Raw genomic sequence first — 24,292 nt, 5'->3', positions numbered from 1 at the left:
TTAACCAGGCATGGTGGCGTGTGCCTGTAGTACCAGCTACTTGGGAGGCTGAGATTGGGGAGTCACTTGAGCCTGGGAGTTTGAGACTGCAGTGAGTCGTGGTCATGCTACTGCACTCTAGCCTGAGTGACAGAGCAAGACTCTGTCTCAAAATAAATAAATAAATAAGTTTGGACACACTCCGATATTCCTAGTCCCTTTCACCAGAAAAAGGCTCGGAAAAGTTGAGTGATTTGCCCAAGACCACACAGCAAATCAAACTGTGAAAGTCCCCAAGTCACATCTGGTTGGAAGTCCCTTGCACCCGGTAGTAAACATGTTGTGATGAAGCAGACAGAGATAAACAGGAAAAGCCCTGCTTGTTTCCCCATGCTCCCACAAGCAGGCTGCAGCTGGGTTTTCTGCTCCTTACTGGGTCCACATTGCTGGGTTCAATGGTATGTTTTCTCTGGGGGCGGGGGGGGGGATGGGGGGATGGGGTGGATGGGGGCGCGGGGTAAGGGGAAGCCTCCTTTTCTTACACCTGATTTCAATTCTGGTTGAGGGCAGTTCGGCAGTTAATATCAAGTGTAAAGTTGTTACTACATCTGCCCCTGACCAGAATGAGGGCACTGCCAAAAAAAAAGAAAGAAAGAAAGAAAAAAAAGATAATACAGGAGAGTGGAAACGTGGCATCCCTTAAGGCGTCCCTCTACAGAGACACTGCAGCCCCCATGCCATGACCAACCCATCTTCCTCATGAAGGCAACTGGGGGAATAAATGGAGAAAGCAGTTTCCACTGCTGTCCTGAGTTGGAGAGTGGGGAATTTCCAAAGCTGCCTCTCACAGACTCAGCTGAGGGTCTCATTGGTCAAAGATTCAGGGTTTGCTGGCCAGACTCATCTGGACCGGCTCAGAATGAGGCTGAAGTCTGCAGCAGAAGGCTAGCCTCCTCCCCACAACAGCATTCAAGAGACCCCTTCCCCCTCACCATCTCACTTAAAACAGGAACTACACCTCCTGACCACATGGGATGGACTCGGGGGTGACAGCAGAGATAAACACCAAGGACTCCCTGGGCCTGGCAAAAGCTCAAGCTTCTTGTGCAGAGAGAGCCTATCCCACAGAGATCCTCTAGACATAAGTCTAGCCACGAAGCTCTGAAAAGGACGGCGGCAGAACCAGAGTTCAGATTTGAATAATTACTGCAAAGTTTAAAAAACACACACAACAATAACCTAGTCGTCCCCCTTTTCACTCCTCCCCAAGGCACACAGACAGGTAACATACACAGGTAAGAGCACACACACTCACCTGCGCTCTGACTTCCTGACTCTGAGCTGCTCAGGCCAAATGAGGAATGGCATTGGCTTATTCTGGTGAGCTCCTTAGTGGCTGCTGCCATAGGATATAGGCTTTATTAAATGCAACAGAGTCCTTTCCGTTTCCCTAGCCCAGACCCTGCACCTTCTCTGGAGAAAATAACTGTGAGGCATCAATTTCCAAGGCATCTAAGTTCCTTCCTTGGGCTGACATCTCGCTCAGCTGGACGGTGAGCTGGCTTGAGAAGCCTGAGCCTGCAGTCCCTGTGGCAGTTCCGGCAAAGGTGCATTATTTATCTCAGCTGCTGTTTTAATTGATAGAGATATATTCAAGACAGCTCGCCAATTGTCTCGGCAACCTCAGGCCGGAAAATAAACAGCTCCATGTGAACAGTTCTTTCGGCTTCTGGTTCTAGCTGCTGGCTCAGCATGTATGCAACTTGAACTGAGGCCCCAAACCAGCCCAAGCACTGCTCCACCACCTGTCAGTTCTCCACCCTGGGGGTTGGTTCAGCAGGCAGGCAGAGATCTCCAAGCACTATCTTAACCTCTGGCTCCACCTAACGGCAGGAAATCCACCTTCCCCCCCCGCCCCCGCCACCACCCCCCCCCCCCCGCCCCTTCACAGATCGGCAAACTGAGCTTCATCCAGGAAAGCGCTCAAAGATCCCAATGGGGCCCGGCACGGTGGCTCACGCCTGTAATCCCAGCACTTAGGAAGGCCGAGGCGGGTAGATCACCTGAGGTCAGTTCAAGACCAGCCTGGCCAACATGGCGAAACCCCGTCTCTACTAAAAATACAAAAATTACCCGGGCGTGGTGGCGGGTGCCTGTAATCCCAGCTACTCTGGAGGCTGAGACAGGAGAATCGCTTGAACCGAGGAGGTGGAGGTTGCAGTGAGCCGAGATCGCGCCACTGCACTCCAGCCTGGGCGACAGAACGAGACTCCGTCTCACACACATACACACACACACACACACACACACACACACACACACACACACACAAAGATCCCAATGGGTAGAGACTTACTCAGCAAGGAAAACTAATGGTCACCTGCTGTCCACTTTTTGGTTAGCATCTTGGATTTCTCCAGCCCTTTGTCTGCGAATAACACTTCACACATTATTCAAACAATCTCGGATGGGTGAGTCACTAAAACGCTTGCTGAATAATGGGGAACAAACACAGAGACCTGACACGGAGCTGAAAGACAGAGGCATAAATGGTACCTGACGTCCCCCCTGGGGTGCCAGCAAAGCATCCGCTCATCCTCTCTGACCTTTGCCTGGCTTCCCCCCTCACTTTTATCCTGTTAAAGCACTTCTGCGTGGGGTGGCGAGAGCTAAGTCGCGGGCTGGGCTTGCCGGGGGGATGGTCTGCGCTCACCTTTAAATCAGGAGGCTTGCTTCGGGGACCTGGGTTGGGCGCCGCGGCAGCGCCGGCGTCTGAAGTTGGCCCGCCAGCAGAGTTAGCACCCGTGGTCTCCCCAGGCCGGAGGTCCGCGCCCGGCAGGTGGGAAGCGGCATCTTCCAGCCCAGCTCCATCCTCCTCGCCCTGTTGTTGCTGCAGCTCGTCCGATCTGCACCTCTTCATGGTGTATGTGGGTCGGCAAGGGGAATCTGTCCTTCCAGCGCGCCGTCTTGGGGAAGACCGCACCCCCTCTTATATTCATATGAGGCCTGGGGTCTAAATTATTAACAAGGAGGGGAGATGGCAGACCACAATTTCTTGAATTAAAAAAAAAATTCTTAAAGGCGGGTGAGGGAGGGGCGAGAAGGGGGAGCCTTGGTTATAGCTTGGAATAGTTCATTTCGACCTGGGGAGCGAAGACAGGTCACAGTCGAGGCTGGGCAGCAAGAGTCCTTGGGCAGTCATTGCAGGAGGGAGAAGGGAGACAACCCCCGGCCCCCAAACTTTCTGCTTCAGGGCATGGGCAGGACGGAGAGGAGCTGGGCGGCACAGCGCATCCCTCCCGGCCGGCCGGGCTGCGGGGCGAGGCGGGGCGCGGGGCAGCCGGCCGGGCAGGTCCTAGTCGGCCGCCATCGGCGCCGGCTGCAGCCCCCGGCCCTGCAACCGGCCCCTGCCCCGCATGGTCCGGCCGCGGAGCCCGCAGCGCGCCCGGCCCCCTCCCCGGCCCGCGCGCCCCGCTCCCCGCCTGACGCGCAGCCTGCCGCAAAGCCGCGACCGCGGCCCGAGCCCGCGGCGAGCGCGCAACCTACCCCGCCCGGCTGCCTCCGCCCGGGAGCGGGAAGGCGAGGCTAGGAGGGAGTGACAGCGGCAACCGGCCAATGGGAAGCCCGCGGGGCTGAGGGGGCGTCGCGCAGCTTCGTTTTTGGGGTTGGTTGCACCGTGCGATCCCCCAGGAGAGGGCTGGAGGACGATGCTGCTGCGTTTTTGCATTGCAGAGAGCGGGCTGCAGTTCAGGGGCGGGGGCGGCGGGCGTGGGAGTCGCAGTTTCGGCTCCAGCTTGAGGGACCCTGCCGAGGAGGGCTCGCCCAGGATTTCCTCCACCCATTCGCTTTATTTGGCGAGAAGGAGCACAAGAGGGATGTTTATTATCACTGCTTTTTGGGGCTCTTAACTTTGCACCTTCTAGCCATAAGGGAGACACCTATCCCCTCTAGGATACTTGGTCTGAGTTAAATCTATGCCTACATTCAGAGCTGCAAATGCCAAGGGGAGGGGGCGTTCTCTCCTCATCGCCCCGTCCCCCGCTTTAAGTGCATTATTTCTTAATGAGACTTTACTTGGCATAATTTATGCTCAGAAATTGGGAAGAATTTCATATAAAAACACAATAACGTATGTGAGAGTTCCTTACAAACTGTGAAGCAGCTTTTAAATAAGAAAGGGTATTAATGGCAGGAGGTTGCTACATATAGATGTGTGGAAAGGGAATGCTGTCTCTCTTTGCATAAATCTCAGCCAAACTGTGCTGAGTAATCTGGAAGCAGAAGAGAGCAAACGTTGGGGTTACCAAGATATGGAGAGTAGTAATAATAACAACCCCATCTGAGTGTCTATTGTATGCCTCCTGTGGACACAATGGATTTTACTCATCCAGCAACCAGTGGTTCACAAATTGTGATCCTTGGACTAGCAACTTCAGCATCACACGGGAACTTGATAGAAATGCAAATTCTTGGCCACCAGCCAGACCTAGAGAATCAGAAGTAGTGAGCCAAGAAATCTGTGTTTTGACAAGCCCTCCAGGTAATTCTGACACACACTACCCTTTGAGAACCACTGGCCTAGACAGTGAAGGGGCCACACGGTCTCTAAAGGATTTTACAGTTTACCAATCTCTTTCGCACCCATCATGCCATTGTAGCCTCACTTCAGTCTCACTAGTCGGAGTTTCTTGACTTTCTGTTCTGTCTTCTTCCCATTCCAACCACTCATTTTAATGTGTATCCTAGAAGAGACTAATTTGTTAAGAATTTACTTCAGCCAAGCAGCTACTTTCTAAACTAGGCAGCTCCACTTTTAGAAGATAGGAATTTAGGATGGGCTGGGAATGTGGAACCACCCCCCACATCTACCACAAAGAATCGAGCACAATGTGGAAACACAAAGCTATAAGCCTTTATTTAGCATTTTCAATGGTGAGGGGATGGCAGGATGCCAGTGTAGACCGTGGGCAGGACTAGACAGAACCGGTGGGGGCAGGTTCCCATGGTGCAAGGTTTCAAGCAGAGGAATATACTGCTCCCTGCCTGACTTGGCCCAGATAAGTGCAGCGGCCCCAAAGACCCTGAGCAAGTCTTGAGGGGCACGCGGTGGCCAGCAAATGGTGAGCATGCATTGACACATGTTCATGACCTGACTCGAAGCCGAAGGAAAGTGAAGGGATTTGGTTTAAGGAAGGGATTTGGTTTCGTTTAAGGAAGCAGAGAGCATTATAATTTTGAATTATGCCTCATTTCTATACTAGATAAAAGTTGGTCTTAAGTTTGATTTTTATATTATCATATACATACAGCATGACAGCCACATTTTCTACTTGTCGTCATATTTGCAAGGTGTGATTCAGGTCAGCAAAAAAGTCTGTGGTGTGTTTCATAAAATCAGCTAATACTTTACATTCCATTTTGGAGAGGCATCATAGCATAATGGTTAAGAGCTCAGGCTCTATGGCCAGATAGGGGACAAATCCTAGCTCTGCTCTTCACTGACCATGTGAGTGGGGACACGTTATCTAACCTCTTCATGCTCCAGTTTCTGAATTATTTGGAAGTAGGGATAATGACAGTACCTACCATACAGGGTGTTGGGTAATATATGTAAAGCACTTGGACATTGCCTAGCAAAGAATGAGGGCCATAGCTATAACCACAGATGTCATCCAGTTTCAGAAGTGTTGCACATTTCACTCCAATGCTTCTATCTTCAGGAGTTCAAATGTGTCCCACCAATTTCTGACTTTCACTGAGTGTCATATTATGGAATAAGTGTGCTACTGCCAAAGAAGTTTGGCTGAGAAGTCTGTGTAGAGACCTGAGTGACCTATAACCACCAGTTTGAAGCCAATGGCAAATTTTCATTAGCCGCAGCAAATTCTTGAGCACCTAAGAAAATCAGAACTTGAAAGTACTTTGGTTGGTTGAAATTTTGTTTACGGCATTAGATTATTCTATCATTCTACGTTTCTTTGGGAAAATATAGGCACAAATTATGTTTTGATATTCAAGATTAGACAAAAGTTTGCAGATACACAATGCAAGTGATTATATTTTCTATGTAGGAGTAGCATTTCCATTCTGTTTTGGCACACCTAGTTAATTACAAGGAAATAACATGATTTAGTGGGAAGAACATTGGTCTTGGTGTCAGAAAATTCATGTAAGCATTCTAGTTCGGTTACTTCTTGTGAGCTTAACCTCTTTCACCCTCGGTTTTCTCATCTATAAACCAGGGCTAATACTATCTATCTTCACTGGTTATTGTGAGGATGAAGGTAGATAATGCACGTGAAAATGCTTGACACATGGTATATGTGCAGTAAAACTAAGTGAAACAAAAATAATTAACTTGTCCAAGCCCCCCATATACCATATGAGAAAGAGAATTATCCCAATAAGCTGAATGCTTTTTGTGAACAGAAATCCCAGTTAAACTAATGAAAGGGAGCACTCTGGTAGTATCAAATTTGCTAAACCAATAAGTATACACACAAGGAGTATAAAGGGCAGAATTATGGAATCCTGCTCTCTTGTCAACACCCAGTTCATTTAGTTTGATAAATGGTTGAAGCTTTCATTATAGAGGATAAGGTGCCAAGATTAACAAAGTGTAGAGTAGGGTTTTGTTTTGTTTTCTTTCTTTTTGTAAAAGCAATTAGGTCTGAAAAATAAAAGGCTTCTCTTTTTGCCAATAGTAAGAAGCTTGCAGATTATCCAAGGCAATTCTATGTCCTATTCCATAGCAATACTTAAAAAAACATTTAAACATCAAATGGATAAGTGGTTGTCAGTGCGCTATTTTAAGATTTAACATACTGAGTAGAGTGATTCAAAGGTAAAAGTACTCTCTAGAGGGACTAGATATAATAATTTTGCTCACTGAATTTTGATACCAATATCATTGCATATACTCCTTTGTTAATGTAATTCTCTTCCCTTTTTGTTGGAGATGACCACTTCCACGCAGTGCACTCCTTAAAAGAAATTGAGTTCTGTTGGATTAGGAAGAGTAAACTATGCAAATAATCCTTAAGAAGATTGTCTGGATTGTTGATGTTGTCACAATCCCACCACCTAAATACAGGCTTTTTACTGGCTATTGTAAAAGGAAGAGAGGACCAGGAAGGCTCTATATCACTCCTGATTGGAGAAAGCTCTTATTAGCCTAAACTAAATTTTATCCTATTTTTTACTTGAAATGTACTCAGCAGCATTTTCAACATTATTACATTTTCCCATATTATTCCATATATTATTAGCCATATTCCATATGTTTAAGTAAACATTTTAAATGACTGCTTAATGTTCTGTCAACTGAAGATATCATGGTTTAACATACTATCCACTTCATCCTTTGACATAATTTTCTCTATTTTTTGCCTTTAGAAATAAAGCTGCCATTACTATATTTATGCAGAAATTGTATACATTATTTCATTCAAAACACAGAATCTCTGATACCAAACTGGCAATTTTTTTTTTTTTTTTTTTTTTGGAAATGGAGTCTCGCTCTGTCGCCCAGGCTGGAGAGCAGTGGCGTGATCTCGGCTCACTGCAACCTCTGCCTCCTGGGTTCAAGCAATTCTCCTGCCTCAGCCTCCCGAGTAGCTGGGATTACAGGCATCTGCCACCAAGCCTGACTAATTTTTTGCGGACTAATTTTTAGTAGAGACTAAAAATGTTTTTCCATGTTGGCCAGGGTGGTCTTGAATGCCTGATCTCAGGTGATCCGCCCACCTCGGCCTCCCAAAGTGCTGGGATTACAGGTGTGAGCCACGGCGCCTGGCCCAAACTGGCAATGTTTTAAAGGAGTAAGCAAACCCAGATTACTAACTTTGTGATCATTTCTCTCACAGCATCCCTAAGACTTACACAGGAGATTCCAATGTCTGTTTCATTCCTGGGGTGGGTGAATCTCCTATCTGTAATATGAAAAAGCCAGAAGTTCCTGCTTCTCATTTCAGGTAGGATGCATATTCTTTATTCTGGTTTCTCCTCTGTAATGGGAGAAAAAATGATAATCATGGCCATGAACAGAGGAGGACTGTGAAGCATAAACTTAAACCCTGATTGTACTACTATGTGTGAAAGCCTGGGACTGGTAAAATGGCTGCTTTGTGCCCTTTCCCATCTCTATAGGGAATCCATACAAACCTCTGGACAATCTGTTACTTAAAGCTGAAAATTCTAGACCTTAAAAAGAAAGAGAAAATATCAGCTTTGCTCAGAGAGAATCGATTGTTTATTATTTTACATCTGAAAATAAATATCTGTGGGCAGTTCTATCTATAATCATATGTGGTACTTTTAGATACAATAGTAATAGTAAAAGTCCACCATTTAAAGAGATCCACAGGTGTTTGACATTTTGCTAGGAACCTTGTGAACACTCTCCTGAAACAACCCTACAAGGTGTGTTATTACCACCTTACAAATGAGAAATAGGCTTAGAGAAGTTACAGCACTTAAAAATAGGTCCAAGATCTGTGCTCAGCTCCGTCTGACTCTAAAGCAAGCATGTTCAACCCCCAGCCCACAGGCCGCATGCAGCCCAGGACGGCTTTGAATGAGGCCCAACACAAATTTGTAAACCTTCTTTCTTTCTTTTTTTTTTTTTGAGACAGAGTTTTGCTCTTGTTGCCCAGGCTGGAGGGCAATGGTGCGATCTTGGCTCACCGCAACCTCCGCCTCCCGGGTTCAAGCGATTCTGCTGTCTCAGCCTCCCAAGTAGGTGGGATTACAGGCACACGTCACTACGCCTGGCTAATTTTGTATTTTTAGTAGAGACCGGGTTTCTCCATGTTGATCAGGCTGGTCTCAAACTCCCGACCTCAGGTGATCTGCCTGCCTTGGCCTCCCAAAGTGCTGGGATTACAGGCGTGAGCCACCGCTCTGGGCCTGTAAACTTTCTTAAAACATCATGTGGCCTGGCTCCATGTTTCTTAAAACATCATGTGGCCTGGCTCCAGCCTGGGCAACAAGAGCAAAACTCTGTCTCAAAAACAAAAACAAAACGAAACAAAAAACCATCATGTACTCAGAAGCATTTTGAACATTATTACATGTTTCTCTATTACATTTTTCCTTTTTTTTTTAAGCTTATCAGCTATCGTTAGTGTATTTTATGTGTGGCCCAAGACAATTCTTCTTCTTCAAGTGTAGCCCAGGGAAGCCAAAAGACTGGACACCCCTACTCTAAGCTTAAAAGCCTAATAGCTCACCTTTTCACAACTATAATTTTGAGTCACTTTATGGTAAGTAATACTCTAATTAATATTAGTCTGCAATTCAATATCTCTACATTCGTTCACATATATTTATGAAACACATATCATGTACAAAGGCTTTACAATATGCTTGTGGAGGATATAGAACAATAAAAGACATTCGTCCCTGCCTTAAAGTCCAGTTGGGGAGGTGAGATACAGACGAAATGTCAATTAACAACACAAGATTGAAATGGTAATGTCTGCCAACACTCCAAGGGGAGCTAATTAAGTACCAAGTTCTGGAGGAGAGAGAGATCTCTGTGAGGGATCAAGATGACTCCAAAAAGAGATGTTTTCACACATTCATCCATATCATGAATGTTAAAAGGATAAAATATTGCTTTAGGATGATTCTAATTCTTTTAAGTAAGGAAGAACTAAATATCATCTTGAAAATAGAACATTCAATATTTGGATCTCCTTAATTTTATATCTGCATGCTATAGAGTTGTATGGCATATTAAAACGGAATTATTTTTCTTCTCTTTGTTCTCTGAGACTGTAGGGTAGTGTTTCTGAAAGTATGGTTCATGGACTACCAGCAACATAATCACCTTGAAATTTAGTTATATATGCAGATTCCCAGGTCCCATTCCAACCTGATAGAAACCGAATTTCTGGGGGTGGAGCCTGAAACTCTGCTTTTTAGACAAGTTTCCTAAGTGATATGTACATTGAAGTTTGAGAACCACTGATGTAGGGGAAGACTTGTTTGATTACATTTGTTGATAGATTTATTAATTAGTTGAGCACTTACTATATGCATAACACACCTTCCCATTTAGTCCATAAAACAAACTTTGTGGCCAGGCACAGTGGCTCACGCCTGTAATCCCAGCACTTTGGGAGGCCGAGGCGGGCGGATCACGAGGTCAAGAGATCGAGACCATCCTGGCCAACACGGTGAAACCCCGTCTCTACTAAAAATACAAAAATTAGCCGGGCGTGGTGGTGTGCGCCTGTAATCCCAGCTACTCGGGAGGCTGAGGCAGGAGAATCGCTTGAACCCGGGAGGCAGAGCTTGCAGTGAGCCAAGATCGCGCCACCGCACTCCAGCCTGGGCAACAGAGCGAGACTCTGTCTCAAAAAAAAAAAAAAAGGTTTCTTGTTTTTGTCCTTCCTGGAAGGACCCACCGAGGCGGGAGAATCGCCTGAACCCGGGAGGTGGAGGTTGCAGTGAGCCAAGATCATGCCATTTGCACTCCAGCCTGGGCAACAGAGTGAAACTCCATCTCAATAATAATAATAATAATAATAATAAAAATAATAATAATAATGAAAAACCTGAAACTACCTAAATGTCCCAACCCTTTTACACTGAGATTGGAATGGTAAACAATGAGCCATTCTAACTGAAGTCTAGGCTTCAGTTCTAACGGGCACCACACTTTTTTCCAACATGGGAATGGAGAGTTGCTCTGAATTAAGAGGAAAATGTCAGTTGTTTGAAAAACCTTCTGCTGATCTTGTGACTTCAAAAAGACCACTTAAGGAAGTCTCTCGTGAGAAGGGGAATCACATCATCCATGTGAGATACTATTCTGGACTATGTATCCTTATGTCATAAGCCATTTTCAGGCAGCTCATATGGCTCTGGGACATACCCAAGCAGACATAGGGACAAAAGGCGTTTTCATTAATGAGACCACCCAGGCTTGTCTTATATCTCTCACAGGGTGCTGGTGAAAGAAGATATTACTCTGTTTCAACAGGCAATGACACAGTGCAGTTCTATCAGATGGCAGTTTAGTACCATAGAGCTACAGCCATATAGAGGTTTATACTCTTTTACTCAGTAATACCCTCCTGGGAATTGATCTCCAGGAAATAATTCAAAAGAAGAAAACAAGCTACATGAACAATGACAAAAAAAGTTTATTGCAGCATTGTTTATAATAATGAAAAACCTGGCGGAGCGCAGTGGCTCACGCCTGTAATCCCAACACTTTGGAAGGCCAAGGCAGGCAGATCACCTGAGGTCAGGAGTTCAAGATCAGTCTGGCCAACATGATGAAACCCTGTCTCTATGAAAAATACAAAAATTAGCTGGGCATGGTGGCGGGCACCGGTAGTCCCAGCTATTCAGGAGGGTGAGGCACGAGAACTGCTTGAACCCAGGAGGTGGAGGTTGCAGTGAGCTGAGATCACACCATTTGCACTCCAGCCTGGGCAACAGAGTGAGACTCCATCTCAAAAATAATAATAATAATGAAAAACCTGAAACTACCAAAATGTCTCAAGAATAGGGAATGGATGAGGAACAAGGCACAACAATATAATGGAATGGAACATTGTGCTGCTATTAAAAGGGATAATATGATGAATATATAGAAATATTAAAAGCCGCCTTTAAGTAATATAAAATGAAAGCATTAGAATGCAAAATTGTGTAGAGCTAGAAGAATTAGGGCTTTGGAGTCAAACAAATCTGTGTTATTAGCTATATGGACTTAGAAAAATCACTTAGCCTTAGTCTCAATTTCCTCATCTGTAAAATAAGGATAAAACTATCTGGGGTTGTTGTAAGAATTAAATATGTTGGGCCGGGCGCGGTGGCTCATGCTTGTAATCCCAGCACTTTAGGAGGCCGAGGCGAGCGGATCATGAGGTCAGGAGATCGAGACCATCCTGGTTAACATGGTGAAACCCCATCTCTACTAAAAATACAAAAAAAAATTAGCCGGGCCTGGTGGTGGGCGCCTGTGGTTCCAGCTACTCAGGAGGCTGAGGCAGGAGAATGGCGTGAACCTGGGAGACGGAGCTTGTAGTGAGCCGAGACTGCGCCACTGCACTCCAGCCTGGACGACAGAGCGAGACTCCATCTCAAAAAAAAAAAAAAGAAATATGATATAAACTATATTGATACATTTTGGGTAAGTCATGGATAAATATGGGAGGCAGTGCTAAGAAATAATCCTAAATTTTATGCTAGAATGTGAGACTGTTAAAATGTTATGTAAAATTGATTTATTTTTATAATGTTTTAAATACTATTTTTTACTCTTTATTCCTCCACATCCTTAAAATTTGTCATATTCCCTATGCAAGAAATTTGTGCATGTAAACTGGAAACTTGCCTAAATGGATCCCTAAGCCTTATTTTGAGAAAGTGCCTAGACTGGTGCTTCTGAAATCAGCTCTAGGAAAATGGTAGGACCCTGTCAACACAGAGATATGTGATGGTGGCTCAACCAGGTGCCGGGAACTTTCTTCCAAGCACTTGGAGGCTCACGTGAAGCTCGATAGGTGGAGGTCCCTCTTTCCTCTGAAATTTGGGAATAGAGAATGTTCTCTTGACCAGAATGCCTTCCACCTTTGCTTCAGAATCCTAACCGTCACTTCCATCAAACCACCTCCCTGGAGAGGTGGCTGGATTTATGAGAAAGGGCGCAGGGAGGGGAATGAAAGGAAATATTTTCTTTCAGATAATATATATTGAGTATACTCTTTGTTTCAGGCATTGGGCTTGGCATATGTGGATAGATACAGACTAAGCTGGATGGAATATGTTTCAGATATTGGGCTTCAGAATCTTCTAGAAAACCTCTATCAAAATAATGTTGACAAGCCTGGGCAGCATAGTGAGACTCCATGAAAAAAAAATTAGCCGGGCATGGTGGTCCCAGCTACTCAAGAGGCTTAGGTGGTAGAACCGCTTGACCCTGTGTAGTTGAGGCTGCAGTGAGCTGAGATTGCACCACTTCATCCCCAGCCTGGGCGACAGAGAGATTGAGAGAGAGAGACCCCATCTCAAAAATAAATAAATAAATAAATAAATGACATTGACATAGAAAAGGGTACTGGTAGGTGTTAATCTATCTATCTTTATCCACCTAGGATCAGCCCAGAGATAAGAATATAACCAATTATAAGGTGTTATTCCAGGTAGGTAGGGAAATAAACCAAATATGGGTTCCACTGAACTGTCAGATAACATAGTGGAGAAAGGATCACAGCCATTTAGACTTAGAAAAGCAATAATGGGGATGGGCCCGGTGGCTCATGCCTGTAATCCCAGCACTTTGGGAGGCTGAGGCGGGTGGATCACCCGAGGTCAGGAGTTCGAGACCAGCCTGACCAACATGGAGAAACCCTGTCTCTACTAAAAATACAAAAGTAGCTGAGCATGGTGGTGCATTCCTGTAATCCCAGCTACTCGGGAGGCTGAGGCAGGAGAATCACTTGAACCTGGGCGGAGGTTGCAGTGAGCCGAGATTGCACCATTGCACTCCAGCCTGGGTAACAAGAGCGAAATTCCATCTCAAAACAAACAAACAAAAAATTAGCCAGGTGTGGTGGTGGGTGCTTGTAATCCCAGCTACTTGGGAGGCTGAGGCAGGAGAATCCCTTCAACCCAGGAAGCGGAGGTTGTAGTGAGCCAAGATTGCGCCATTGCACTCCAGCCTGGGTGACAAGAGCGAAATTCCGTCTCAAAAAAGAAAAGAAAAAGAAAAGCAATGCCGATCTACTGTCTTACTGATGAAAAATGAATTGTGACAAAACTATGTTCAGGGCTTCTGGAAAGCTTTGGATCAGTTACTCTAAAACATTTCTGGAAAACCTTGTTCTTCTACTTGGCAGTGAAACAAAGATGATCTCTGTTTAGAGTTATACCAAATTCCCTTTGATTGTTTCCCTCCAATGCTCTACATCCTAACAGCCAGGCATGGCACTGATGAAATATTCAGCATTGGAATGATATTTGATGTATAATTAAATAGCATTTAGCAGTTCAATTTTATAGAGCTTTAATCTTCAAGTTAATAAACCTTCATGTAGAGAATCTCATAAAATATTCTTGGAAATGCTATCCTCCTTGTAAAAATACATAATCCTGAATGTGAATAGTTACTACAGACAGAAAACATTTCCTAAGCATGTCTGTGTGCAAAGTAAGGTGCTAACTGCTTTAAACATTATGTCATTTAATCTTCACAACCCTGTGAGTTGGGTATTAGTTCTCCTCTACAGATGAAGTGAATGAGGCTCTAAGTAATTTGCTTACGATCATGAAATAAGTAAGCAGCACGGCCAGGACTGGAAATTCGGGTTAGATTCTCTCTGATTCCCTTGCTTTTCCCTACATTTTTACAGGATTTCTTTTTTTTTTTTTTTTTTTTTTTGAGACATGGTCTCACTCTCTTGCCCAGGCTGCAGTGCAGCAGCATGATCATGGCTCACTGCAGCCTCAACCTCCCCAGGCTCAGGTGATCCTCCCACCTCAGCCTTCCAAGTGGCTGGGACTACAGGCGTGTGCCACCACACCTGGCTAATTTTTAAGTTTTTTGTAGAGATGGAGTTTCACCATGTTGCCCAGGTTGGTCTCCAACTCCTGGGGTCAAGCAATCCTCCTGCCTTGGGCTCCCAAAGTGCTGGGATTTACAGGCCTGAGTTACTACACCTGGCCAATTTCCATTTCAAAGCACTTTCACTTACCTCCAGCCTGGGAGGTAGAGGTTGCTGTGAGCCGAGATCATGCCATTCCACTCCAGCCTAGGTGACAGAGGGCAAGACTCTGCTTCAAAAATAAATAAATAAATAAAATAAATAGAATAAAATAAGATAGGCTGGGCGCAGTGGCTCATGCTTGTAATCCCTGCACTTTGGGAGGCCGAGGTGGGTGGATCACCTGAGGTCAGGAGTTTGAGACCAGCCTGGCCAACATGATGAAACCCCATCTCTAGTAAAAATACAAAAAATTAGCTGGGCTTGGTGGCGTGTGTCTGTAATCCCAGCTACTCAGGAGGCTGAGGCAGGAGAATTGCTTGAACCCAGGAGGCGGAGGTTGCAGTGAGCTGAGATCATGCCACTGCACTCCAGCCTGGGCAACAAGAGCAAAACTCCGTCTCAAAAAAAAAAATTAATAATAATAATAAAATAAATGCAGAATCCCAAGCACCACCCTAGATTTACTAAATCAGAAGTGCATTTTAACAAGATCTCCACATGATTCATGAGCACACTGAAGTTTCAGAAGCACTGTTCTGCAACACTGCCAGCATTATACACTATAGGCAGGGAAGAGGGCAAGATTGTCTAGAACCAGGGATTCTCAAACATGTTCCCTTGGGAATCAGTATTGAGATTCAAGAAAGTATGTTTGGTTGTTAAATTCGATAATGGTGACTTTTCCCAATTCATAGAAAAAAATTGGGTTAATGGGTTGTATTTTTCATCTTTTCTTCCATAATTTGTCCTCTCTTTTGGAGCTAAATATTACCTACCTGCTGGTAACTTTAGAAGATGATAATGAGCAAACAAGTAGTAAAGAAATACTTATATTTATCAATATAATTTTTCAATATAATATAATAAAACTCAATAATATGTAATTCTTTATTTTTCCTTCAATTTGTAGATTTTTAAAATTCTTGGATTTGTGATTCTGATTTTATGTTGCATAACAGAAAATAGTCATACTTTCTCTTAGTAAACTGTTCTTAATTCATATGGAAGAATTAAGTGTTAATGTTTTATGGTGTTCTAAAAAAATGATTTCCACCTACATGAACAGGAAGATCAAGGCTTCAGAATCTCTCCAGAAATCATCAAACCAAGAGGAACTTGTATAGAAAAGTAAAGTTAGAAAGAATATTTCTCACCTATCTCGTTTCCTCCAATGACAACATTAATGGATACCAATATAACCTACTGTTTTTTTCTGGGTAGTAAAAGTATGAGTGGTTTTTACTTTCTCTTTTGTGATTTCCTGAATGTTAAAAAATGTTGGCTGGGCATGATAGCTCACGCCTGTAATCCCAGTATTTTGGGAAGCCAAGGCAGGTGTGTATCACTTGAGTCCAGGAGTTCGAGATCAGTCTGGACAACATGGCAAACCCCAAAACCCTGCCTCTACTTAATCAATCAATCAATCTACAGTGAACACTCAGTCACTCAACAAATATCTAACGAGTACCTACTAAGTGACAGGCACTATTCTAGGTGCTGGAGATACAGCAGTGAAACAAACAGCCAGACAAAAATCTCAGTTCTGATGTCAGTAACTTGGGTCTTTCTTCTTGGGCTGCTCATATTCCTTCATGATGACACTTTAAGTTTTATCTTTGGAGGGTAAACAGCTGGTAGCCAAAGATCTAGGAATTGAATGAAGAGGGTATCCAATATCCATACATTCACTTATCTCCCTGTTTATGCAGAGAGCTATTTAACCCTCTCTGGAGAATAAATACTTCAGTCTTGTTTTTCGGAGGGTGGGGTGGAAGTTGAAGATGAGGAAGTGACCTCAGGATTTAACTGCTCTTAAGCAACTATACTTCCACAATAGGCAGTGGGGGGACCTACTGTCACCAGTTTCTAAGACTTAGGGGATTCTTCAATATAAGGTTGGATCTCAACTTTATTACTTTGGGTTTAGGATTCAGGTTTCTTAGTTAAAACTTGCCCATTTGCTTTTCATCTTCCACTTTCTTTTTTGCTACCAACTCCTCTCATTATCCTGGCTTTGTGCTTTAAAAAATCCCATTACTGTCATTTTAATGGTGTTCTAGGAGGGAACAAAAGTAGATCTGTGTGTTCATCTTCATTAATTGTTTAACTCTCGACACTTTCAGGAAATACTTTTCTTTCTTTTTGAGACAGAGTCTGACTCTGTTGCCCAGGTTGGAGTGCAGTGTCATGATCTCGGCTCACTGCAACCTCCACCTCCTGGGTTCAAGCAATTCTGCTGCCTCAGCCTCCCTAGTAGCTAGGACTACGGGTGCATGCCACCACATCCAGCTAATTTTTGTATTTTTAGTAGAGACAGGGTTTTGCCCTGTTGGCCAGGCTCGTCTCAGACTCCTGACCTCAGATGATCCACCCGCCTCAGCCTCCCAAAGTGCTGGGATTACAGGCATGAGCCACTGCACGTGGCCAGGAAATACTTTTCTTTTGTTTGGTTTTTGTTTTTTTGAGACAGAGTCTCACTCTGTCGCCAGGCTGGAGTAGAGTGGTGCAATCTCAGCTCACTGCAACCTCCGCCTCCCAAGCCTGAGCGATTCTCCTGCCTCAGCCTCCTGAGTAGCTGGGACAACAGGCATGCGTCACTACGTCCAGCTAATTTTTGTATTTTTAGTAGAGACGGGATTTCATTATGTTGGCCAGGATGGTCTCGAACTCTTGACCTCATGATCCACCCACCTTGGCCTCCCAAAGTGCTGGGTTTACAGGTGTGAGCCACTGTGCCCAGCCAGGAAATACTTTTCTATACCAACTTAAACCCTCTCTTCTTACCGTTCAAAACTTTATTTTCTCCATTTGTCCTTTGAATTAGATATTTGAAGAAAATATGTATTTTAATTGGTAAGTTATTATGATTTACAAAGGGCTCATTGTCACTTGCATTTTTTAAGATTTTAAATAGCAAAAAATTATTGCCTTTCTCAACAGATCAAAAATAGGTATGAGATATACTTACACATATTCAAAATGATGTACATAGATTAGTTCTTGCAGTATTGTTTTTAATATCAAAAGACTGCAAAAAACCTAAAGGTCCGCCAATAGAAGACTTGTTAAATAAAACATGCCAATCCATGTGGTAGTATGTTACACAGTTAAAAAGAATGAAACAGACCTTTATGTTTTGGTACAGAAGTCTGCAAGGCCATAATCAAATATGTATTACGTATGCTATCATTTGTATTTAAAATACATGCATACACATATATAAATACATATATAGGATCTATTTATACATGATTTATATCTACAACAGTGGTTGCCTCCTGGGAGGGGAACTAGGTGACTGGGAGGTGAACAGAAAAACTAAGAAAGACTTAGTTTTTCCTTATATATCCTTTGCACCATTTGAATTTTATACCACATTCGTGTATTACTTATTTTGAAAATAAATGCAAAGTACTAAGGAATAGTTTTTAAAAGGGTGGGCTTTGTGATATTTACCTGAAATAATGCCCTCTCTGATTACTTCCACCTATCTAAATTTTGCCCCTTCTTCAAGATAGATTCCTTTTCTGGATAACTCCAGCTTGAGTGCTCTTATCTGATCTCCTGTGCTAGAAATTCGTGTGTGTGGCAAATCATTACACATTGCTTTCTTACAGCTCTTCTATTTTAAAAATAGTATCTACTTTGTATTAAAATTCCCATTTTTAATTTTCATTTCTATTTTACTGAACCTTTGGGGATTGCATGGGGAATATAATCTTGCAAAAGAAGAATGGCTGATGGAAAATACGTGACCAAGTAAAAGGCAGAAGGGGGAGTGGGTAAATGGGAAGGAGCATGAGGCTCCCTCCTTGCAGTCAGCCCTCACAGACATTTATCAAATACAGATTCATTTGAATTAGTGACCCCTTTTTATAAAATGCTAATGCCCCTGGAAAGGTAAGGCCTTCACATCTTACAACAATTAATCCAAATATCACGACATCATTTGGCTAAGAACACCTGGGTGTTCTGCGATGAGAGGTCAGGAGAAGTAAAATTTCTGAAGCAGGACTCACAAAAATTTAAAACCAAAAGGGCTTAAAGATCTGCCATTCTAAACCCTTACTTTATAGAAGATGAAACGGGGTCTTGCCCGAGATCACAATGCAAGGTATAGGAAGAGTCCAGATCCAAACTCAAATCTCCTCTTAATTTCAGTCAAGGAACTACATCATGTAGCCTATCAGAGAAGAAGTCTGGCCTAGGTAAAAGACGGTGTCTTTCTATAGCAAGAAAGATACAGATGGGCTCTGTGCCTGGTGAAGAGGGGAGAGATAATTCAGGAAGCACAAAAGAGGTGACGTCAAGTTTTGCCCCCTTTGTAATTGTGTCCAGGAGTCTGTGACTGTGTGTGTCAATGAAAGTCCTCCATATTAGCAGAAACCAAGTTAAGATAATCAGAAATAGTTTGGAAGGCTACAAACCTCAACTTCCCCTTACCCAGTCCGGTCTCCCTACTTCAGGAACCCACTGAAGTTCAGCTTACAGCTCTTGTTGATCCTTTCACACCCTTCCTTTCCAAGTCTGGAGAAGGAAAGTTGGAAAAGGGGAACGCAATGCAAATATAAGAGATTTCCCTATTTCCAGGGTACTTTCAGCCGATTTCCAGGGTACTTTTAGCCGATTCCCCAGTATCTACTGTATCCGAAACACTAGAGAGCCACTTAGGGTAGCCATGGAGATGACTGTCTTCAGTCTTGTTTCCTTCCTTTTCTCTACTATTAACATCTTTCGCTACGATTTCGGTAAGGCCCCCCCACTTCTGCTGGCACTCAGGTCCTGCAGCTCCTCCCTCTCCTCAGGGACGCTCATAGAGGGATTAGGAACACTTTTTAAAATGAAGAGAGCGCGAAAACACAAGAACGAGTGAGGGTTTTCTCCAAAAGGGATCAGTCCCATCCACAGCCTCCCCTTCTCCAGCCTTGAGGTTTTGGCGTTTGGTCCCAGCCCGGACTGCAAGTCCCAGGAGACCCCGCGGCGAGGGTGTCCTCCAGCGATCCTTCCCTCACGCTTCTGGATAGTGGAGAGAAAGGTTCCGATAGCGGCGCACTGCGGTTTGGTTTGTTTGCAACGGCAGTGACGGAGGTTGGGAGCCAGGCTGACTGCAGGCGGGGGCGTCAGGAGGCGGATTCCTCCTCCCTTCGGCACTGGGGGGCGGGGAGGAGGGAGGCCGGGCCTGCGGCCGGGGACCGAGCCGCAAAGACAGAGCGGGCAGAGGCGATGGAGGGCGACGGGGTGCCATGGGGCAGCGAGCCCGTCTCGGGTCCCGGCCCCGGCGGCGGCGGAATGATCCGCGAGCTGTGCCGGGGCTTCGGCCGCTACCGCCGCTACCTGGGACGGCTGCGACAGAACCTGCGCGAGACCCAGAAGTTCTTCCGCGACATCAAGTGCTCCCACAACCACACTTGTCTCTCCTCCCTCACGGGCGGCGGCGGGGCCGAGCGCGGCCCTGCAGGCGATGTCGCCGAAACCGGGCTGCAGGCGGGTAAGGAGGGCAGCCCGGAGGGAGAGAGGGCAGGAGAGGCAAATCGGAGGACGGACCGCACCCCTGCCCTGCAAAACAAGCCCGAGTCTTCTCGGGCAGGCGGAAAGGGGCAGTCGTGTCGTGTGGCCGGGTCCCCGGGCATGGGCCGGCCGGATCTGGGATACCTTGGGAGGGCATCCTTCTGAGGAGGGGAGGAAGGGGCCCGCTGGGGGACCGGGAGCCAGGGGCAACCGAGGGCCGGAGTTCCCGGAGCGGGACCCCGGGGACCGGGGTGTGCGCTGACGGACCTGGGGCGGGCCGGCGTTCGGAGAGGGTAGCAGTTAATCCGAGGAGTGGGGAAAGTTGCTCTGAGTTGGGGGCGGGCGCGTGCGCCGTTGTGGGTCAGAGCCCCAGTTTAGAGATGGAGCAGAGGCGGCAGCGAGTCCCGGGAGTCCGAGGAGGCCATGGGACTGTAGTCGGGTGTGTGGGTTTGATGATGTATGTGAAATGTGTTCACACCAATCATGAGGCAGCTCTGTGAAGAGGGGACATTCTCTAAATAGGGTTGGGGGTCGCCAGAGGAAATCATATCTGATGGGTGCCACGGAATTGCCAGAGATGTTGCTCATGCTTAAGGTGAAGAAGAGAGGGAAGGGATCATTTTGGTCCTGAGCCAATGGAGAACTAGCTACTCTTGTTCTTTCTTGCATGATTCTTTCTAGGATGTGCCAGAGGCCCCCAAACACTTAAAATCGTGCAGTCTTTAATCTTTCCTAACGTCTTGCTTCCTTTTAAACTGCTGTTGGTGGGGAACTGGAGGATTTGTTAACTACTGCGTCTAATTAGGAAATAACTTTAGATTGGAAGGGAGAAGGGACTGACATTCCACGTAGATAGATATCTTGGGGACAAAACAGCAAAGAAGTCTGTGGGTTTAATTTAGTGATTCTCAAACTAAAGTGTGTATTAAACTCACCCCAGGGGCGTATTAAAAATGCCATGTCTCGTGCTCTAGCTCATAAATTCCTATTGAATAGGTGTGTGAAGTGGGTCCTAAGAATCTAATTTAACATGAAAAGACCCTGAAGAGGCCGGGCGCGGTGGCTCACGTCTGTAATCCCAGCACTTTGGGAGGCAGAGGCGGGGCGGATCACTTGAGGTCAGGAATTCGGGACCAGCCTGGCCAACATGGTGAAACCCCGTCTCTACCAAAAATATAAGAAACTAGCCAGGTGTGGTGGTTGAGGCCTGTAATCTCAGCCACTGGGGAGGCTGAGGCAGGAGAATCGCTTGAAACCAGGCGGCGGAGGTTGCAGTGAGCAGAGATTGTGCCACTGCACTCCACCCTGTGCGACGGAGCAAGACTCTGTCTCAATAATAATAATAATAATAATAATAGTAATAATAAAAGACACTGGGGAAGGTGATGCAGGTGGTCCGTTAAAATACTTTCAGAACCATGAATTTAGATGCTCATAGCAAATTTGAACACAAGGCTTAGAACTGGATGAATTGTTCTGACTTTGCGTGTTAGGTCTTATATTCCCAAAGTTTTGCGCTTAATATCCTACATCCGACTGGGAATCCAGAAATGGTGATAAAAATAAGATACTAAGATCATGACAGTATCAGAAAAACTAGTAGTTTCAGAAAAACTAGTCATCCCCCTCCTTTTATGTTACAAGGTAAAATAAGGCTTTTTAAATTCCTATCCAAACCAACTAAATGGAACGGTATCATTTAGGACCCTGTCATGATCTTAGTATCTTATTTTTATCACCATTTCTGGGGATGACTAGTTTTTCTGAAACTAGTCTTTGACATCTTACGTCCAGAAATATACTGTCCTGGAATGGACTTGTAGAGAGAACCAGTATCTGTGAGGCTACCAGAAAACAGCTGATGGGAAGGGCTAATGTTTTCTGAGACGATCCCCAGAATGTGTACTTTCACCCGCACCCATAACAGTGCTTTCCAGAGGTGTCTCCTGCTCGGAAGTTTCTCTCACAGCTTATCTTAAAAAGCCCTTTATTGCTGTTTTTATTTTAAAACAACTATTTATTTTAGACTTGCTTCTAAAACAAAGAGAATTGATTAACCTCAGAGAGATGGAGGTTTTCAAGGCACTTTGGTTGGCTGTTGTTTTTATTCTTTAAAAAACAACTTAAGACATACAAATATACCTTTGCATTTCACTTCATTGGCTTTTCCAGTTGACTGCATCATGAACTGATCTTTGCGTATTTAACTCTCTTCACCATCGGGAGTCTGTCCATCCCAGATAAAAACCTGGGAGGGTGCAGATGGCAGGAGTGGGAGCAATTTGGTTTTGTTCCATAAAATGCTTTTCTTCCTTTCAGCGTGGAGAGTTTGGGGGTAAAAATGCACCAAGGAAAGTTAGTGAAGGGACACTTAATATGTATATTTGAGGGATGCATTTTCCTAGCTGTTTAGGTGGTCATGTCAGAAAGTAGAAATCACTCCTAAAAAGACAACTAGCTCTTGTTCTCCCCATTTACAGGCCATCTTTGTAAGGTCAAGTTATTCAGAGACTGTCTCAACTTTCTTTTTTAAATTTTTTGTAAAGATGGGGTCTCACTTTGTTGCCCAGGCTGGTCTCAAACTCATGGCCTCAAACGATCCTTCCAACTCAACCTCCCAAAGTGCTGGAATTACAGTAATCAGCCACCACACCCAGTCCTCAACTTTCTTTTATGAATGTTAGTCTCTGATTAATAGGAACTTGGGTGTTGAAGGAACACTCAATTCTTACCCTAACAAACCTGTAGGTTTTAAGCATCACTTCAGAATGGAACTGTGCCTCTAGGTTGATGTAGTATGGTATTTGAGCAACTGAAAGAAGACCAGGGATTAACTCTAAATTTGAAATGATTGGAGTATAAGTATGGTAACAATAGTAAAACAATTTTCATGTCTATATACCATTTGTAATGCCATATGATACCAAAAATTTTTATTGTCTCACTTTCACCCACAAAAGAGTAAAGGACCCCAAAATAATATTTGCCTCTAACATTTTATAGTTCTGAATTCACTGGGGTCAGTGTAGAGAATATGTAATGTACATGATATTTTAGAATTTAAAAAGTAAGGCTGGGTGCGGTGGCTCACACCTGTAATCCCAGCACTTTGGGAGGCTGAGGTGGGTGGATCACCTGAGGTTGGGAGTTGGAGACCAGCCTGGCCAACATGGAGAAACCCCGTCTCTATTAAAAATCCAAAAAAATTAGCTGGGCATGGTGGCACATGCCTGTAATCCCAGCTGCTGGGGAAGGCTGAGGCAGGAGAATCACTTGAATGTGGGAGGTGGAGGTTGTGGTGAGCCGAAATCACGCCATTGCACTCCAGCCTGGGCAAGAAGAGCGAAACTCTGTCTCAAAAAATAAATAAATAAATACATAAATAAAGGCTTTGAGCACTTCTGAGGAAAGGCAGGGTGGAGTATTAAGAGTAGCAGAGGGAAAAGTATTTTTTTTCTTTTTTTTTTTTTTTTTTTTTTTTTTTTTTTTTTTTTTGAGACAGAGTCTCTCTGTATTGCCCAGGCTGGAGTGCAGTGGCGTGATCTTGGCTCACTGCAACCTTCACCTCCCATGTTCACGTGATTCTCCTGCTTCAGCGTCCTGAGTAGCTGGGACTATAGGCGCCTGCCACCAGGCCCAGCTAATTTTGTTTTTGTATTTTTAGTAGAGACAGGGTTTTACCGTGTTGGCCAGGCTGGTCTCAAACTCCTGACCTCAAGCGATCTGCCTGCCTTGGCCTCCCAAAGTGCTGGGATTACAGGCATGAGCCACTGTGCCCGGCATGGGAAAGTATTTTTCTTGTTTTATTATCCAGTAAAGTTCCTAGCTGTTGCAATTTGTCATAAGCCTCTCAATTTTAAGAAATTGGAGTGGGCCGGGTGCGGCGGCTCACGCCTGTAATTCCAGCACTTTGGGAGGCCGAGGCAGGTGGATCACTCAAGGTCAGGAGTTCGAGACCAGCCTGGCCAACGTGGTGAAACCCCATCTCTACTAAAAGTACAAAAAATAGCCAGGCATGATGGCGCGTGCCTGTAACCCCAGCTACTCGGGAGGCTGAGGCAGGAGAATCGCTTGAACCC

At 44.9% G+C, this 24,292-nt stretch overlaps 2 protein-coding genes across 12 annotated transcripts in view, besides 6 other annotated features; one reads left to right on the top strand and one right to left on the bottom strand.

The window, feature by feature from the left end:
* The window catches only part of TMCC2 (transmembrane and coiled-coil domain family 2), a 45,398-nt gene extending 41,880 nt beyond the window's left edge, over positions 1-3,518 (bottom strand). For 3 of the 6 annotated variants that reach the window (XM_047436073.1, XM_005245686.4, NM_014858.4), the window contains exon 1: positions 2,693-3,518. Coding sequence is in view for 2 of the 6 variants with exons in the window: in XM_005245686.4 (XP_005245743.1) it covers positions 2,693-2,899 (207 nt within the window). In the remaining 4 variants the exon portion in view is untranslated. Of the gene's footprint in view, positions 1-1,294; positions 1,750-2,335; positions 2,534-2,692 lie in introns of those variants that run through there. The other 3 variants (NM_001375652.1, NM_001375651.1, NM_001242925.2) reach the window with 2 other exon arrangements.
* Positions 3,418-3,597: a silencer, noted in NCBI's record as "silent region_1735". NCBI's record gives its function as "represses an Ori minimal core promoter by ATAC-STARR-seq in GM12878 lymphoblastoid cells {active_cell/tissue: GM12878}" and the evidence as "EXISTENCE:reporter gene assay evidence [ECO:0000049][PMID:35858748]".
* Positions 3,728-3,867: an enhancer, noted in NCBI's record as "active region_2376". NCBI's record gives its function as "activates an Ori minimal core promoter by ATAC-STARR-seq in GM12878 lymphoblastoid cells {active_cell/tissue: GM12878}" and the evidence as "EXISTENCE:reporter gene assay evidence [ECO:0000049][PMID:35858748]".
* Positions 17,232-17,376: an enhancer, noted in NCBI's record as "145 bp 1:205183288 sequence used in MPRA reporter constructs". NCBI's record gives its function as "activates a minimal TATA-containing promoter with rs12137432 allelic activity by MPRAs in C283T melanocytes {active_cell/tissue: C283T}" and the evidence as "EXISTENCE:reporter gene assay evidence [ECO:0000049][PMID:36423637]".
* Position 17,304: a transcriptional cis regulatory region, noted in NCBI's record as "rs12137432 or 1:205183288 MPRA-significant variant associated with a GWAS melanoma risk locus at 1q32.1". NCBI's record gives its function as "allelic transcriptional activity by MPRAs in C283T melanocytes {active_cell/tissue: C283T}" and the evidence as "EXISTENCE:reporter gene assay evidence [ECO:0000049][PMID:36423637]".
* DSTYK (dual serine/threonine and tyrosine protein kinase) overlaps positions 19,762-24,292 on the top strand; it is a 69,198-nt gene continuing 64,667 nt past the window's right edge. For all 6 annotated transcript variants that reach the window (XM_047417152.1, XM_011509394.3, XM_047417145.1 and 3 more), the window contains exon 1: positions 19,762-20,193. In XM_047417152.1, the coding sequence (XP_047273108.1) occupies positions 20,167-20,193 (27 nt within the window). In that variant the 5' untranslated portion in view covers positions 19,762-20,166. The remainder of the gene's footprint in view (positions 20,194-24,292) is intronic.
* Positions 19,833-19,962: a silencer, noted in NCBI's record as "silent region_1734". NCBI's record gives its function as "represses an Ori minimal core promoter by ATAC-STARR-seq in GM12878 lymphoblastoid cells {active_cell/tissue: GM12878}" and the evidence as "EXISTENCE:reporter gene assay evidence [ECO:0000049][PMID:35858748]".
* Positions 20,383-20,432: a silencer, noted in NCBI's record as "silent region_1733". NCBI's record gives its function as "represses an Ori minimal core promoter by ATAC-STARR-seq in GM12878 lymphoblastoid cells {active_cell/tissue: GM12878}" and the evidence as "EXISTENCE:reporter gene assay evidence [ECO:0000049][PMID:35858748]".

The sequence above is a fragment of the Homo sapiens genome, chromosome 1 (assembly GCF_000001405.40).
Source record: "Homo sapiens chromosome 1, GRCh38.p14 Primary Assembly".
Classification (NCBI taxonomy): domain Eukaryota; kingdom Metazoa; phylum Chordata; class Mammalia; order Primates; family Hominidae; genus Homo; species Homo sapiens.
Note: the sequence above shows the minus strand (reverse complement) of the source record. Positions and strands in the feature narration are given on the sequence as shown.